Raw genomic sequence first — 16,772 nt, forward strand, 5'->3', positions numbered from 1 at the left:
TATCAGGTTTATATTCAGTGTCTTTCCCTTTGTGTCCATGGATTAGCTTCAGTAAGCCCAAAACCCTCTAGAAATTGTGTGAAAAATTATATGCATATAGGCAGATTCTCAAAGGGGCCTGTAATCTCACAAAGGTTAAAACCATTGCTTTATGTTTCCAAGTACAGAAAATCTCCTCATTAAGTAATCCTGTAATAATTAGTCTTCCTGGTCTGGACCAATCCAAGAGCGACAGCTAACCGGGAAAATCCTAGAATGGCCTGCTGAAGGCTGGTCCTGGCCAGCCACAGGCCTGCTTCCTGTTCATTGCGAGGTGTAAACTGACGCTGGGAGTGGCCACTAGATGGCGGCAAACTCAGCCAAGTTTGGCATGGGCTTCCGTTGGCGCTACCAACTGGCAAGCTGTGCAGGTTCCTGGCATCCATTTCATTAGCTTCAAAATAACGCGACCACGAATAGTTGATTGAATTTTAGACCCCACGTAAAATTCTTCTGGACCTCACTTATTGTGTTGGGGCAGGGATTTACTGTTCTTTCAATTCACTTGGTCTTTAAAGCATAGAGGGCAGGCAGCAAAATTACCCTCCACGTCCTGACATCTCTAAGGGAATAAAGCTTGGGACTGCTATAAATAAGGAAAACTTGTTAAAGTTCATGAAATCAGCTATGGAAATTGTGGAACATAAGTCATGGTTCCATTTGTTTTATAGAAGTGTAAAAAATGAAATCTGTTCTTCAAGATAGAAAAAAAAGAGAAATATTATGAATGCCATTTAAAGGAGACACCTGCCATTTCTGTTTCCAAGTTCCCCTGGGGCCCACAACCTTTTATTTGATAGTAGGTCTCCAGAAGAGCAGTGGCATTATTGTTATCTCATAGATAAATGTAATAGGCCTCCTTAGGGCTGTTTTCCCAACTCCACCTTTCTAAGGGCTCCTGACCCAGTCTCCAAGGATGGTCACTGGCTTGAACTTTGGCTTGAACATTCCCCCTTGGACATAGCCAACTAGAGCAGAATGAACAGCTGACTCAAGCTGTGTCTATTTCATTTCTCCTCAGTCTGAGGTTCACAGAGAATGGGCATTTGTAAGTGAGTCCTGGAAATCAGAGGGCACTAAGAGGAAGGCCTTTGAACTCTGTTGAGAACTCAAAACCTGCAAAATGTGCTTGATTTCTACTCTTCCTGAGCCATGATTTCCAACCCCCCAAATTTCCCTAGATTTTGTGAAATAATATACTATGCTTTAAAAATTACACACACATAAATATTATATACATAGTATATATACAAAGAGAGAGAGAGAGAAAGAGAGAGAGATATCAGGGATTCCCAATCTCATCACTATTTTGATCCAGATAATTCTTTATTGTTGGGGGCCATCCTATGCATTGTAGGGTAGTCCCTGGACTTTACCCAGTTGATGACAGCATCAATCCTCCCAGTTATGACAACCAAAAATACCTCTAGACATAGCAAAATGTCCACTTGGGGTGGATGGGGGGGGTGATAAAACCACCCCCCAGTTGAGAACTATTAGCTATCTATCCTTCTATTTATCTGTATCTAGATTAAACCAACTTGATTTGGTACCTGTTTCTTGCAACCAAGATATTAACTGAGACAATGGGAAAATAAAGACGTAGAGAAATTATCTGAAATGCTCATATAGTAACACAGCAAGTTGCTGTATGGCGGAATCAAGACTAGATCCCAGAGCTCCTGAACATTAGTGGGTTTTCTGCTACTTTCCACAAGAGAACTCCTGTGCAGGGTCTTTAACCACACCAACTTGCCCAGCATCTTGCTTTCCTTTGTATTAAAACCCAGTACTACTTGAATTATGGAAGGAAACACTCCTGGCTACATTTTCTTATTTGTTTGGGTCATCAAAATAAATAATGTGGGTGGGGATCATGGTAGGGCTTTCTTCACAGGAAGTTGAAGCAGTGTGGGTTTGTTGCCAGGCGTGGCATCGCATGGCTTTCCTTAGCACCTGTGAAAAGAACAAAGCTAAATGATGGGGTGCTATCTGTCCACTCTGAAATGTTACTCCCGGATCACTGGGGTAGATTTAGCTTGATGTTGCTCTTGAATGTAGTCTTTCCCACGTTCTCATGTTTTTTCAGGTTACTTACCTCAACAAGTCGCTGTAGAATAGTAAATATCACTTAATTTTTTTCATTCAGAACTTCAGAACTTGCATTATCTGTGGAAACATTTGAAGGTCAGGAGGAGGTGAGAATGTCAGCTCTGTGTAACAAATGTGCAATAAATGTGAGCAAATGAAAACAATGTTTTTAAATGGTCATTCGGTAAGATGTATTTTTTTTTTTTTTTTGAGATGGAGTCTCGCTCTGTCACCCAGGCTGGAGAGCAGTGGCCCAATCTCGGCTCACTGTAAGCTCTGCCTCCCAGGTTCACGCCATTCTCCTGCCTCAGCCTCCCAAGCAGCTGGGACTACAGGCGCCCGCCACCATGCCCAGCTAATTTTTTTGTATTTTTAGTAGAGACGGGGTTTCACCATGTTAGCCTGGATGGTCTCGATCTCCTGACCATTTTGAACTGCAATCAGGTGGGTTTTGTTAAATACATACAGCCACGTAACAACCACCACAATCAAGAGTTCCATCACTGTAAAAAAATTTTCTCCTCTCATCTATTTCTAGTCAGCCCCTCTCACCCAGCCCAAACCTTGGACAACCACTCATTTGTTATCTGTTCCTATGCTTTTGCTTTTTTCAAAATGTCATATAAATGAAATGATAATGTGTGTTTTTTGAAGCCTGGTTGCTTTTATTCAGCACAATGCATTTGAGATTCACCCATGTTATGACTTGTATAGATAGTTTTGTCCTTTTTATTGTTGAGTGGTATTCTATTGTATGAATGTATCTATTCATCACTTGAAAGATATTGGGATTGTCTCTAACTTTTAGACATTACGAATAAACTGTTGTAAATATTTGCTTATAAGTTTGTGTGAGCATAACGTTTTATCTCTTTTGGGTAAATATTGAGGAGTGCTACTGCTGGATCATATGATAGGTATATATTTAACTTTATAAGAAGCTACCAAATTGTTTCCCAGAGGGGCTGTATCATTTTATGTTCCTACTGGCCATGTATAGAAATTCTGGCTGTTTCTAATTCTCACTGATCCTTGATATTGTTAGTTTTTTAAAAATTTATGTTAGTTATTCTAATATATTTGTAGTAGTATCTCATCTTGATTTTAATTTACATTTTCCTAATGACTAAGGCTGTTTGGCCTCATTTCATTTGGTAAAGTCTCAGATCAAAATTTTGCTCATTAAAAAATTTTCTTGTTTTCTTATTGTTGAGTTTTGTCCTTTTTCAGATATGTGATCTGCAAATATTTTCTCCTAACATGTGGCTTGCTTTTCACTCTCTTAGTGTTTGCTTTTCATTCTCTTAGTTTTAATTTTGATGAAGTCAAATATCATGTTTTTCTTTTATGGATTGTGCTTTTGGTGTCAAGAGTTGTTTTTGATAACCTCAATCCAGTATATTCTGTAAATATTGAATACATTTCATAAATATTACAGACTCTTTGAGTCTTTTGTTCAACTCCTGCTTGCAATGGTTTGCAAACATTTTCTTTTATTTTTTCTCTCCAGCACTGCCCACATGAACACACCCACACACTTAAGCATTATAAACACAGATTTCCTGTGTTACTCTGAACTCTCAACCCTCCTTTTCCAGGCCTCCTCCCAAAGATCATAAAAGCCACATTTTCCAAAATATCTTTTATCACTCAGAGAAAAGTGCTGGAAGATTGTAATGACCAGTGCTATTTTTATGGCAGAACACTCCAAAATAAAAAAATATATATCATACTGGATTCTCTTTTTCAAAATTATACAAGTTAATTCAAAATGGCATTCTGAAAACTCACCGCCCGCCAATCCATCAATCCCAGGTATAGCATAATACATGCTATGTATTAACTGAATTTAATGTTAAAGTCAATTAATTAGCTACATTTATCTATTTGCATTTTGAAACCTCTTCCCATATATTAAAAGGAACAGAAATTTTTGCATGCTTTTTTCTTGAGTCTGAGTACAACTTCTACCTACCGCTCTTGCGTCTGATTTTAAGTTGGCTTGTTTCACAGTTGATACAATAAGAAAATGCTAAGAAAGAGGAGTGGGGGTAATGGTTGAGTTAAAAAGTTGAAAGAGGAAAAATTTGATTTGTTCTTGAGCACACGGAGCAAATCCCTTTCTTTTGTTTCTACAATTTTACGTTAAGATATTTACTATTTCTTTTCTAAATGTATCCTAAACAAGCTTATTATAAAACATGTTATTTTATGTTTGATGAATCTCTATTTGGTATATGCATTAAATTTAATGAAATTATACCCTTAAAATATAGCTCATAGAGGATTATGTGTACATGGCAGAATCTATCCCGCCACCTAGACAACAATTACTCTTTCCAAGTCTGTCTGATGTATCTATTTTGGGACCCTGGTGTCTAATCAAAATTGGCAACTTCCAGAAGGAGGCTTGGACAGTGAGTTGTACTTAATTTCAGTGAGTTTCAGCTCTTAACACAATAGTGGCTGCACATCCTCTACCCCTAGCCCTGTGGCAGGCTTTCCAGATGTGCATACATTCCAGTAGCAGCTTGTGCTCAACGTGCAGGGGCCGAATGGGAAAAAATGAACCCTGTCCTACAAATAACAGGGATCTATGTTGTGATCACTGATGCCTGCCTCTGAACACAAAGGTACAGACAAAGAAATGGCAACCATGTGTTTGCAACTCTCCCTATTGTTGTAAGCACCTCCCCCTCTGGCTGAAGTGACTTCCAGGGGATTTAAAGAGCTTGTGCCTTTTCCTGTGTCTCCTTCATTTTTCTCCTTTTCCCTTTTTGGGAGCCAGACATTGAAGACTAAGACATTCAAAAGCAACCACATATATGGGGTAAGTTGGAAAGACATTGAACTTGCCCAGGGGAAGGTGCAGCCTCAGAAAAGACCTAAGAAGACTCTTAAGTGTGCAGTTCAGGCTGATCCTTGGCAACCTACAACAATTACAATAAACAAACAAAATCCAGCAAATCCTTGAGGAAGGGAGACAATCTGATTTCCAGAGTTACCATATCATTAGATTCAGATATCCAGTTGTTAGCAAAAAATTATGAGGCATAAAAAGAAACAAAAACGTATGGCCCACTCAAAGGGGAAAACAAAGACCAACAGAAACAGTGCCTGATGAAGACCTGATGGCACATCTACTAGACAAAGACTTTTAAAAAAATCTTAAAGATGCTTAAAAAACTGAAGGAAAATTTGGAGAAAGTCAAGAAAATGGTGTATGCATTAAATGAAAATATCAAAAAAGAGATAGAAAACATAAGAAAGAAACTAAAAAGAAATGCGGGAGCTGAAAAGTACAATAACTGAAATGAAAATTTTAAAAGAGGGATTCAAAGGCAGATTTGAGCAGGCAGAAGAAAGAATCAACAAACTTGTAGATAAGACAGTGAAAATTATCAAGTATGAGAAATACAAAGAAAAAAATATAAGAAAAGTGATCAGAGCCTAAGAGACATCTGGGTTACCATTAAGTGGACCAGCTTACTCATTGTGGGAGTCCTAAAAGGAAAAGAGAGAAGGGTGCAGAGAGAATATTTGAAGAAATAATGATGGAAAACTTCCCAAATTTGATGAAAGACATGAATATAAACATCCAAGAAGTTCAATGACAGCTGATGAACTGAAAGAGACCCACATCGAGATACACTATAATCAAACTATCCAAAGTCAAAGAGAATTTTGAAAACAGTGAGGGAAAACTGATTTGTCTCATACAAGGAATTTTCAATAAGATTATGGGCAAATTTATCGTCAGAAACTTTGAAGGCCAGAAGTAGTGGTCTGATATATTTAAAGTGCTATTTTTTTCAGCTGTCAACTAGAAATTTTATACGCAGAAAAAATATTCTCCAAAAGCAAGGGAGAAATTAAGACATTCTCAGATAAACAGAAGCTGAAGGAGTTTTTTACTTGTCTTTGCAGTAAATGCTAAAGGGAGTCCTTCCTGCAGGTTGATATAAAAGGACACTAAACAATAACTTGATGCCATATGAAGAAAAAAAGATCTCAGCAAAGGTAAATACATCTATGATTTTAAAAGTCAGAATTGCTATAATGATGGTATGTAACTCCACCTTTGTTTTCTGCATGATTTAAGGGGCAATCATTTTAAAAACAATTATTAGTCTGGAAGCTAGCATTATTGTCAGTCTGGTTTGTAATTTCACATTTTGTTTTCTACACAATTGTGGAGACATGAAAAATTATTAGTATATAAAGATGTAATTCTGAGACATCTGCAACTTAAAGGGGTGGGGTGCAGAGCTGTTAAAGGAGCAGAGTATTTGTATGTTATTAAAGTTAAGTTCATATAAATTTAAATTAGAATATCATCACTTTAGGATAGTAAGTGTAATCCCAATTGTAACCAAAAGAAAGTAGCTAAATAATATAGACGTACACAAACACGAAGGAAGAAAGTTAAATCTTTCACTACAAAAAAATCAACTAACACAAAAGAAGATAGTAATGCAGGGAATGGAGGACAAAAAAGCTGTAAGGTATGTAGAAAATAAATAGCAAATTACAGAAGTAAGTTGCTGCTTGCCAGTAATTACATTAAATGTAAATTAGACTAAGCTCACCATTAAAAAGACAAAGATTGGCAGAATGGATAAGAAAACAGCCCACCTATACGCTGTCTACAAGAGACTCACTTTAGACCCAAAGATACAAATAGATTGAAAGTGAAGATAGAGAAGGATATTTCATGTAAATAGTAACCAAAAGAGAATGAGTGACTATACTAATATCAAAGAAAATGAACTTTAAATTTAAAAAATGCTACAAGAAACAAAGAAAAACATTATACATTAATAGATTGCTCAGTACAATGAGAAGATATAACAATAATAAACATTTACACATCAAATAACAGACCATAAAAATATATAAAGCAAGCATTGATAAAATTGAAGGGAGAAATAGGCAGTTCTATAATAATGTTGGAGACTTCAATACTCCACTCCAATAATGAATAGAACAACCAGACAGAAGATAAGTGAAGAAATAGAGGACTTGAACAACACAATAAACCAACTAGATCTAAGAGACATATACAGAACACTCTATCCAACAACAAAATACACATTCTTGTCAAGTGCACATGGATATTTTCTAGGATAGACCATATATTAGGACACAATTTAAGTCTCAATCGATTTTAAAAGGTAGGTATCGTACAAAGTATCTTCTCCAGCCACAATGGGATAAAATTAGAAATTAATAAAAGAAGGAATAGTAGAAAATTCTGAAAATTGTGGAAATTAAACAATACACTATTAAACAAACAATAGATCAAGGAAGAAGTCACAAAGATGGTTAGAAAATACTTAGAGGTGAATGAAAACAAAAACACTACATGTCAAAACTATGGAAAACAGAGAAAGCAGGAGTAAGAGGGAAATTGATGGAAGAAAGATCCCAAATCAACAACTGAACTTTATAATTTAAGAAACTAGAAAAAGAAAGGATAAACTGAACCCAGAGCTAGCAGAAGGAAGGAAATAATAAAGATCAGAACAGAGACAAATGAAATATAGAATATAAAAATAAGAGAGAAAGTTAACAAAACAAAAACTTAGCTCTTCAAAAAGGTCGACAAAATTTACAAGCCTTTTGGTAGATGGATAATGAAAAAAAAAAGAAGATTCAAATTACTAAATTCAGAAATGAAAGTGAGGGTATTACCACCTATTCTACAGAAATAAAAAGAAATATAAAAGTACTATAAGCAATTGTACACCAACAAATTTGATAACCTAGATTCAATGGAAAAATTCTTAGAAACACAAAACCTATCAAGCCTAAACTAAAAGAATAGTTTTAGTTTAGAAAAGAATAAAATCTGAATATGCCTCTAACCAAGGCAATTCAGTCAATAATCAAAAATCTCCTAATGAATTAAAGACCTGATGTCCTCACCAGTGTGTTCTACCAAACGTCTAAAGAAGAACTAATACCAGTCGCTTTGAAACTTCTCAAAAGAATTGAAAAACAAGGGAAACTTCCTAACTCATTCTACATTACCTTGATATTAAAGCCAGACAACAACATATCTAAAGAAGAACTAATACCAGTCTCTTTGAAAATTTTCAAAAGAATTGAAAAAGAAGGGAAACTTCCCAACTCATTCTACATTACCTTGATATTAAAGCCAGACAACATTACAAGAAAACTGCAGACCAATATCCCTTATTACATTGATGCAAAAATCCTCAACAAAATGCTACAACAGAAAAATGACGCAACTGCACAATAAAAGATTATAAATCCAGACCAAATGGGATTTATTCTTGAAATGCAAGGGTGATTCAACGTAGAAGAATCAGTCAATTTCATTAATACATCTCATTAACAGAATGAAGGGGAAAAACATATGATCATCTCAAATGATAGTCATGTATTCGACAAGATTCAACATTCTTTCATGATAAAAACACTCAATAAACCAGGAATAGAAGGAATCTACCTCAATGTAATAAAAGTCATATGTAAATAACCCACAGTGAACATCATACTCAACGTTGAAAGACTCCAAGCTTTTACTCTGAGATCAAGAACAAGGCAAGGATGTCCACTTTTGCAACTTCGATGCAATGTAATACTTGAAGCCCTAGACAGAGGAACTAGGTGAGGGAGAGAAATAAAAAGCATCCACATTAGAAAAGAAAAAGTACACTTATCTCTATTTAGAGATAATATAATCTTATATGCAGAAAATCCTAAGGATTCGACCAAAAAGCTGTTAGAACTAATAAACCCAGCAAAGTAGCAGGATACAAAGTCAAAGCTCAAAAATCAGTTGCACTTCTATACACTAACAGTGATCAATCTGAAAAGAAAATTAAGAGAATAGTTTCATTTACAATACCATCAAAAAGAATAAATTAATTAGGAATTAACTTAACCACCAGAAGGTGAAATACTTGCACTACAAAACTACAAAACTGCAAAACATTTCTGAAAGAAATTAAAGAAGAACAGAATAATGGGAAGACATCCCAGGCTCCCTAGGTTGGAAGACTTAATACTATCCAAACCAACCTACAGATTTAATGCAATTCCTATCAAAATCCCAATGACTTTTTGTAGAAATAGAAAAACTCATCCTAAAGTTCATATGGAAACTCAAGGGATCCTGAATAGCAAAAAAAAAAAAAAAAAATTTTTGAAAAAGAACATTGTTGGATAACTCACATTTCCTATTTGAATCACATAATTCAAAAATTATATGATTAGTTACAAAATTTAGAGTAAACCAAAACAGTGTAGTAATGGCATAAAGACAGAAACAGATGAATGGAATAGAATAGATTGTCTGGAATAGAATAGATGTAGAGGTCACATACACATATATGACCTCACATATATGTGTATGGTCAAATGATTTTCAACAAGGGTGCCACGATAATTTAATGGGGAAAAGATTGTCTTTTCAAAAATGATGCTAGGAAAACTGGATATCCACATGCAAAATAATAAAGTTAGGCCCTTACCTAATACCATATACAAAAATTAACTCAAAATGGACCTATGAACTAAATTTAAGACCCCAAACTGTAAAACTCTTAGAAGAAGACGTGGGGCAAAAACTTCACAACACTGAATTTGGCAATGATTTCTTGGCTTCAACATCAAAGGCACAGGTAACAGAAGAAAAAATAGTCAAATTAGACTTCTGAAAATTTAAAAAATTACGTATCAAAAGATACTACCAACAGAGTAAAAAATCAACAGAATAGGGGAAAATATTTGCAAATCATATATCTAACAAGGGATTAATATCCAGAATGTATAAAAAGCTCCTAAACTCTACAAAAAAAAACCCCACAAACAACTCAGTTCAAAAATGGGCAAAGGACTCAAATAGACATTTCTCCAAAGAAGATATGCAAATGGACAATAAATGAAATGATGCTATCAATATTAGTAATCATTAGGGAAATGCAACACGAACTACAGCGAGATAGCAACTCACACCCATTATGATGGCTGCTATTAAAAAACTGGAAGATAACAAATGTTGGTGAGGATGTGGAGATATTGAAACCCTTTTGCACTGTTGGTGGAAATGTTAAATGTTACAGCTACTATGGAAAACAGTATAGCAGTTCCACAAAAAATTAAAAATAGAATTACTATCTGATCCCACAATTCCGCATCTAAATATATACTCAAAGAATTGAAAACAGAGTCTTGAAGAGATATTTGTACATCACGTTCATAGCAGCATCATTTGTAATAACTAAAACATGGAGGCAACCCAGGTGTCCATTGACAAATGAACTGACAAACAAAATGTGGTATATACATTCAATAGAATGTATTCAGCCTTAAAAAGGAAGGACATTCTGCAATATGCTATAGCACCGATGAATCTTGAGGACATTATGCTAAGTGAAATAAGCTGCTTCAAAAAAGACAAATGCTGTATAATTCCACTTATGTGAGGTGCTTAGAGGAGACAAATTCATAGAGACAGAAAGTAGAATGGTGGTTACCAGGGCTAGGGAAAGAAGGAAAAGGAAGTTAACTCTGTAATGGGTACAGAATTTCAGTTTTTCAAGATGAAAAGAGTTCTGAAAATGGATGGTGATGGTTGTGCAATAATGTGAATGTACTTAATACTACTGAACTGTACAATCAAAAATAAGATAGTAAATTTTATGTGTGTTTTACTGGAATAAAAATAATTGGGAAAAAATAAATCACGCAAGTTATAATTTGAGAAAAATAGCCCAAGTCAAATATTACAACTCATTTTTCATCTTCAAAAGCTCTCGTATGCTATTAGATGTGCTAAGCCAGAGGGATTTGGAATTAGGACCGCATCCTGGGGTCCCGGTGTTAGCCTGTTGAGTCACCCCCTCATGGTTCTCCTTCTTTTACCTCCTGTTTGTGCATCTCTGGTTCCTGCTTCTTCAGCCTTTGCACAAAAGCTTAGTTGGTCCTTCAGTGACTACTGGCTAAAAACAAACAGAAAAAGAAAAAAGAAACAAAAATGGTGTTCTTCTAGTTCTTCCATGAGAACTGTGAAGGAGTGGCCAGCCAAAAAGAAATGTCAAGCAGAGGCTAGTGTGTGGGCCAAGAAAGTCCAGGTCAGACAGAAACACTACAGTTGCTCACAGATACATACAAAATAAGTCCTGACATTTTTGTGAGGACCTTGGGTGATAAAAGGGAAACCCCCTAACACATTTTTCAGGCAGCTGATAATGTTTGACAGCTTTGAAGAGGAAACAGAACTACCAGATGTCAGTGGCTGAATCACAGGGAAAATACTGCATTCTGCAAAGCCTTACTCAAGCATCATGAAGTGTAGCCCAAAGTTGATAGAAATGCTGATAAATAATAAAATTTTATGAAAAAGTAAAATCTCGATACTTTTTCACAAGTCACTAGCTGTAACCAAGACAATGATGTTGGCTTTTTTGTATTTGATCATCTTTCATGAATTTTAGAATGCTTTCTTTATCAAACTCTAAAAAATCTTTAACAAAATTGCAAAGTGTCACAGCAGTGAAAATTTTCATAAACTTCACAGCTCTCAATTATATGACACAGTAGAAGTATCAGAAGTATTCTGCTGTGTCATTTTCTGTTTCTTTGAAGATTCTCTGCTGTACTTCATCATTTTTCCATATACAGTTAAAACACCAAGCAAATATTTGGCCTGAATCCTAAAAATGTTTAATTCTTCCAATTTTCTGTAGTTGCATTTTCAGCAATACAGAGCGTTCCTTCAATTCTTCCCTCCCCTTTTTTCGGTTTGAGATACACTTTAACACCTAAGAATGTGATCTTCTGTTCTTTATAACTAACATTTAATATAAACTAATGTTGAATTTATCAAAAGCAAGTTCATAATCTTTGAAAACATAAGACTTTTTAAATTATTGATGGGCTAAACCATTTACTAGTTTTTTAAATATTGAAGTATTCTTGCATTCCTGGAATATTCCAGACATTTGAGTGACAAAACAGTCAAAAATCTCTAACTCTGCAGAGTTTCTGGCATGTTTCACCACATAAAAAGTGTAGAAAATTATTCTCATTTTTTCTGCAGAAACTGTTCTACTCTTCACTGTTTCCATGGTGGGTTTTTTGTGTGTATGGCAGTTATATATATTATTTAGTTTCTAATCTTTCTTTTAAAAACTTTACTGAGGTATAATTTATATGCCATAAAATTCCTTCATTGTAAGTATACAATTCAATGATTTTTAGTAAATTTATAGGGTTGTGTGATGATTACCATAGTCCAGTTTTAGGACATTTTTATTACCCCAAAAAGTTCTCTCCAGCCGTTTTGCAATCAATCCCTGCTCTCACCCTCAGTCCTGGCAACCACTGTCTCTACAGAATTGCCTTTTCTGGATATTTCTTATGCACAGACTCATATAATTTGTTGTCTTTTGCATTCAGGTTCTTTCACTTAGCTGAATGTTTTTGAGGTTCTTTGTGTGGCATGAATCAGTCCTTTGCTCCTTGGTGTTGCCAAGTAGTATTGCGCTGTTTGGCTTTCCCACATTTTGTTTATCCAGTAACCTGTTTGTGGCTTCTGGATTGTTTTCAGTTTTGACCATCATCTATAATACTGCTAGAAACATTCACATTCAAAAACTGTTATGGACGTGTGCCTTCACATCCCCTGAATAGATTCCCAGGAGTGGAATTGCTGGGTGCTATGGCAAGCTTATGTGTAACTTTTTAAGACGCATCCAGTTAAGGGGTTAAGGGAGGGTAGCTACCCTCTCTGTTGAAGGAAAGTTCATTTTCTTCTTGTTTTTCTTCTTGTGTAGCTCCAGGTTAGGTGGACAGGCACCCTCTGTTCTCACTGGTATCGTGACCTGGTTGAGGAGCCAGCAGGACAGAGCTGTTACTTTTTGTCTGGCCTGACTTTGGGCACCCAGGGTAAACTGGAAATAACATGCCCCAGCCAGACCTCTGTGCGCACTTGGAAGGAGCTCTCAGGTCTCCATCTGTTCCCTGCCTCCATGCTGCTGCTGTTCCTCTCTAGGTGTTGTTAGTGCAGGATTTTCTTGGGCCCTTTCCGCTCCCTCTGGGGCAGGCTGTTCCATATGCATTGAGTTGTGAGACCAACAGCTTTCTTCAGTTTAGCCTTGCCTATCCTACATCTTGCAGAAATCCGTCTTCCCCCCAAATGGCATGCAGATAGAATCCTTCTTTACTTTTACTTTCATTTTAGATCTCCCCTTGTTATTATTGAGCTAGTCCCTTTGTCATTTTAATGGAAATTTGGAAATGGAAGCTCTTGCCATGAGGTCACCTAGAATTCTAGGTGGTCATTCCTTCCTGAGTTCCCTCACAGACCACCCTTGGGCTCCCTCCGGTTTCTGCTGCCCTTTCTCTCTCTCTGCCAGTAAGTGTTGGGGTAAAAGCTGACTTTACAGGAAATACTATCCATACTGGCAGCCTCAGTAAGTCCCTCAGTTCTTCCCATTCATCAGCTGATAAAGTGACAGTGCAGGGATATGGAGGCGGATCTGTCTGGGAGGGAATGTGTACGTAAGTGGTATAACATCTGTGTAGTGTCATTCCGCTGTGCTCTGAGGAGTAACAGGTCTGAAATGCAGACCTTGGAAAATAGACAAGTTGAAGTTTAGAGCAATAGTTGACATGTAAAAAAAAAAAAACCCAACAAGCCTATTGAATTTATTTTTAAGCCTAATAAAATATTTAAAAAGATCATTTATTATATCAACATTCCAAACACAACAGAGAAAATATAATGAACCCCCATGTAGACCCACTACTGAAGTTCAACAGAATATTTCGTCACATTGTTTTATCTATCCCTTTCTTTTTCTTTTATTCCCTTTTATGCTAAGATATTTTAAAACAAATCCCAGACACATTTTCCCCATGCTTAAGTATGCATCCTTAAAAATATGGAAATTTTATTTTCTAGCCACATTGTCCTGATCACGCCTAACAAAACTAATCAATAATTCATTGGTATCATCTATCCTTTATCCATGATCAAATTGTCTCAGTTTTTAATGAAATCTTTTTATCAGGTTGTAGAATAGGAGAAACATATTATGACTCGTTTCCTGGGCCCACCCCACTGCTAGCATTATTCATTGGTCACTTTAACTCTCAGTAGTGTTAAAGTTTAAAATCACTGTTCCCTAAGACCTGTAGAGGCCCCAGAAACTGACTGGAGTGACGTCTGTTAGGCTGTAATGGCTTGTAGCCTCCTCAAGGGCCAGTGCTTGATGGTAGTTGCCAGTACTTGAGCATTGCCCTGGAAGGGTCCTTCCTGTGAATTACTCAGGCCATATAATTCATCCATGCTTATGCAATACAAATATTTCAAGCATCCTAATGCACTTATTTATTTATGAATGCTAGTGACTAGTGAACCAAAACCTCTTACCTAAAATAAATGACTAGCTTTGGCAATGGAGGGGTCAGTACTTCGATTGCTCTTCCTAATGTAACACACCACTAGGGTGTTGGGCAGAGCTTACTGCACTAATTATCCTGCAGTCCTACCTGATGAGAATTGTTCTTCCTTACACTAACGCCTGGGAAAGCAGGTAGCTTGCATATGCAGTTAACCAGCTACATTGTCAAAGAATTTTCTACAGAGAAAATTTGCCCTCTGATTGCCAAATCTCCACTTTGCCTTGTGCTGAGGAAGAGGCAGCTCTGGGGCAGTGTTCTTCCGCAAGCTTCTTGTTATTACACGTGGCTTCCTGTTATGCAGAGACAGGCGGAGAGGGCTGGGTAAGGTGTTGCAACTGATGGAGACACACAGACCCACAAGAGGCAACTGCACTCTAAATTCCTAAGAAACACGAAAGCCACAAAACATGAACACTGGAGGGGTGGCCCTGGAGAGGCACCCTAGGTGAAACAAATTTGCTGGCGTGCAAAAAAACCTTGCAATATTTGTTGCTGGCTCAGGTTTCCAGAGCTGCTGATAAGAAAGAAGTAACAGAAAGCCAGTACTCCTCTCTCTCTCCCCTTCTCTCTCTCTCTCTCTCTTGTTCTCACTCTCTGTCATTCTCTCTCCCTCTCTCTTGTTCTCACTCTCTGTCATTCTCTCTCCCTCTCTCTTTTTCTCTCTCTCACACACACAGATAATTTCTCTCCCTCTGTCTCATATTGCTACCAAGACAGCATTTTTTACCTCTTCCTGCAGAACACATAGTTATTGGTGCCAAGCCCCTTTCCAAAGCAGATTCTTTTCCTTTAGGTTGACATAGTCACTTGTCAAACAATAAAGGGCATTTCTAGAATCCATAGAACATGGGAAAATGAAATCTGCCCAATTCCGGAGTATTGAGGCAGGCATTTAGGGAACAACTTTTAGATATTTCTATGAATTCGGTTATACAAATTTGTCTCAAGGGTGAGTGCCCTGGGAAGACCCGTGTGGTTTAATTTCAGGGTACAGAGAGAAGGCTCCTTTGCTGTCATCAGTCTCACAGTAAAGATGCCTTTTGAAGGGGCAGTGCTTTTCATACTAAAGTTAAAAACGAAACTCAAAAGAATGATGGGTGCTTTTCAATGGGGGGGTGGCGTTTGCTTTGAAGACAGAAAAGGGATACAGAAAGCGAGCCTGAAGTTTCTGAAGTCACATGTCCTAATTTCCTTCTGGGTGGAAACTGAGGGCCATCATCCCGCAGTCTGATAACAGGATAGGTGGGGGGTCTGCATGTATGTATGTGTGAATGTGGCAGGGGCGTTGCGTGTGTGTATGTGTGCGGGGTGTGGGCAGGGACGTATGAATCTGTTTATCATTTTCAGGTGGTAGCAATGCCAGGTCTGCTGTTTCAGAGAGCTCCCCAGTCGGCTCCTTCCTCAGCTGTGGTGTGGGCCTGACTGCCGGCCCACGGTAGCTTAGCTCACTCTCTCTCCCTCCCATGCCTCGGCCACGTGGGACCTTGCTCAGAATCCCTAGGTCTCTCCACATGAGCTTGGGTAGCAGCTGGTAAGACGTGGCAGGATTACCTAATATGTCCGTTTTCTTGTTGGGGTATCAGCACAGCCTCAGTGGTGGGCTTGAGGTTTCAGTACCATTTCTCTGTCACTGTGTTTTCGAGGCCTGCTGAGCCTTGCAGAGCATACACTGGCGGAAATAGCACAAAATTGTTTGTGCACAATCTAGAGGCAAAATGGGTGGGGCTGAGGCAGCTGCTTCACATGATAGGTTAGGAGTAGTGGCTTTGTTCCCAGCTCAGTGAAAGGTGGCATGGTCTCTCCTGTCCACTTCACTCTGGATTCTTTAACCCTGTGAATTACTAGACATGGATTCCATCTCCAATGTGGATGCCTCTCTTCACCACAAGAATACATGCTCCTTTCTGGGCTGTGGCTTAGGTATGGATATTGGGCTTTGAAATCAGATTTCTAGTTGTTAACTGGAGCAGATCATTTCACCTCTGTGAGCTTTGGTTCCTGGTCTGAAAAATGAGGGTGACAGTATGGTACTTACATAAAGAGCATGAGCATTAAATGACACAGCTCTATAAAGTGCTTGCACTGTGGCTGGCTCGTGGTAAGTACTCAATACATAAGTAACTTGATATTCATTATTGTTAGATCAGGGATTATATCTTCCATCGTCCACTCTGCTCAAGTGGATGCAGTGAACATATCCA

The 16,772-nt window shown here is 37.5% G+C and overlaps 1 protein-coding gene and 1 long non-coding RNA gene across 7 annotated transcripts in view; one reads left to right on the top strand and one right to left on the bottom strand.

Annotated features, from left to right (window-relative positions):
- The window catches only part of ARHGAP25 (Rho GTPase activating protein 25), a 116,290-nt gene that overhangs the window by 41,037 nt on the left and 58,481 nt on the right, over positions 1–16,772 (top strand). The window lies entirely within an intron of this gene.
- Positions 1,907–11,090, bottom strand: LOC105374790 (uncharacterized). Its single transcript, XR_940225.3, has 3 exons — positions 11,026–11,090; positions 2,138–2,208; positions 1,907–1,995 (listed from the first exon to the last, which is right to left on the bottom strand). It is a non-coding gene; the product is annotated as an uncharacterized LOC105374790 (long non-coding RNA).

This window comes from Homo sapiens, chromosome 2 (genome assembly GCF_000001405.40).
Source record: "Homo sapiens chromosome 2, GRCh38.p14 Primary Assembly".
Lineage (NCBI taxonomy): Eukaryota > Metazoa > Chordata > Mammalia > Primates > Hominidae > Homo > Homo sapiens.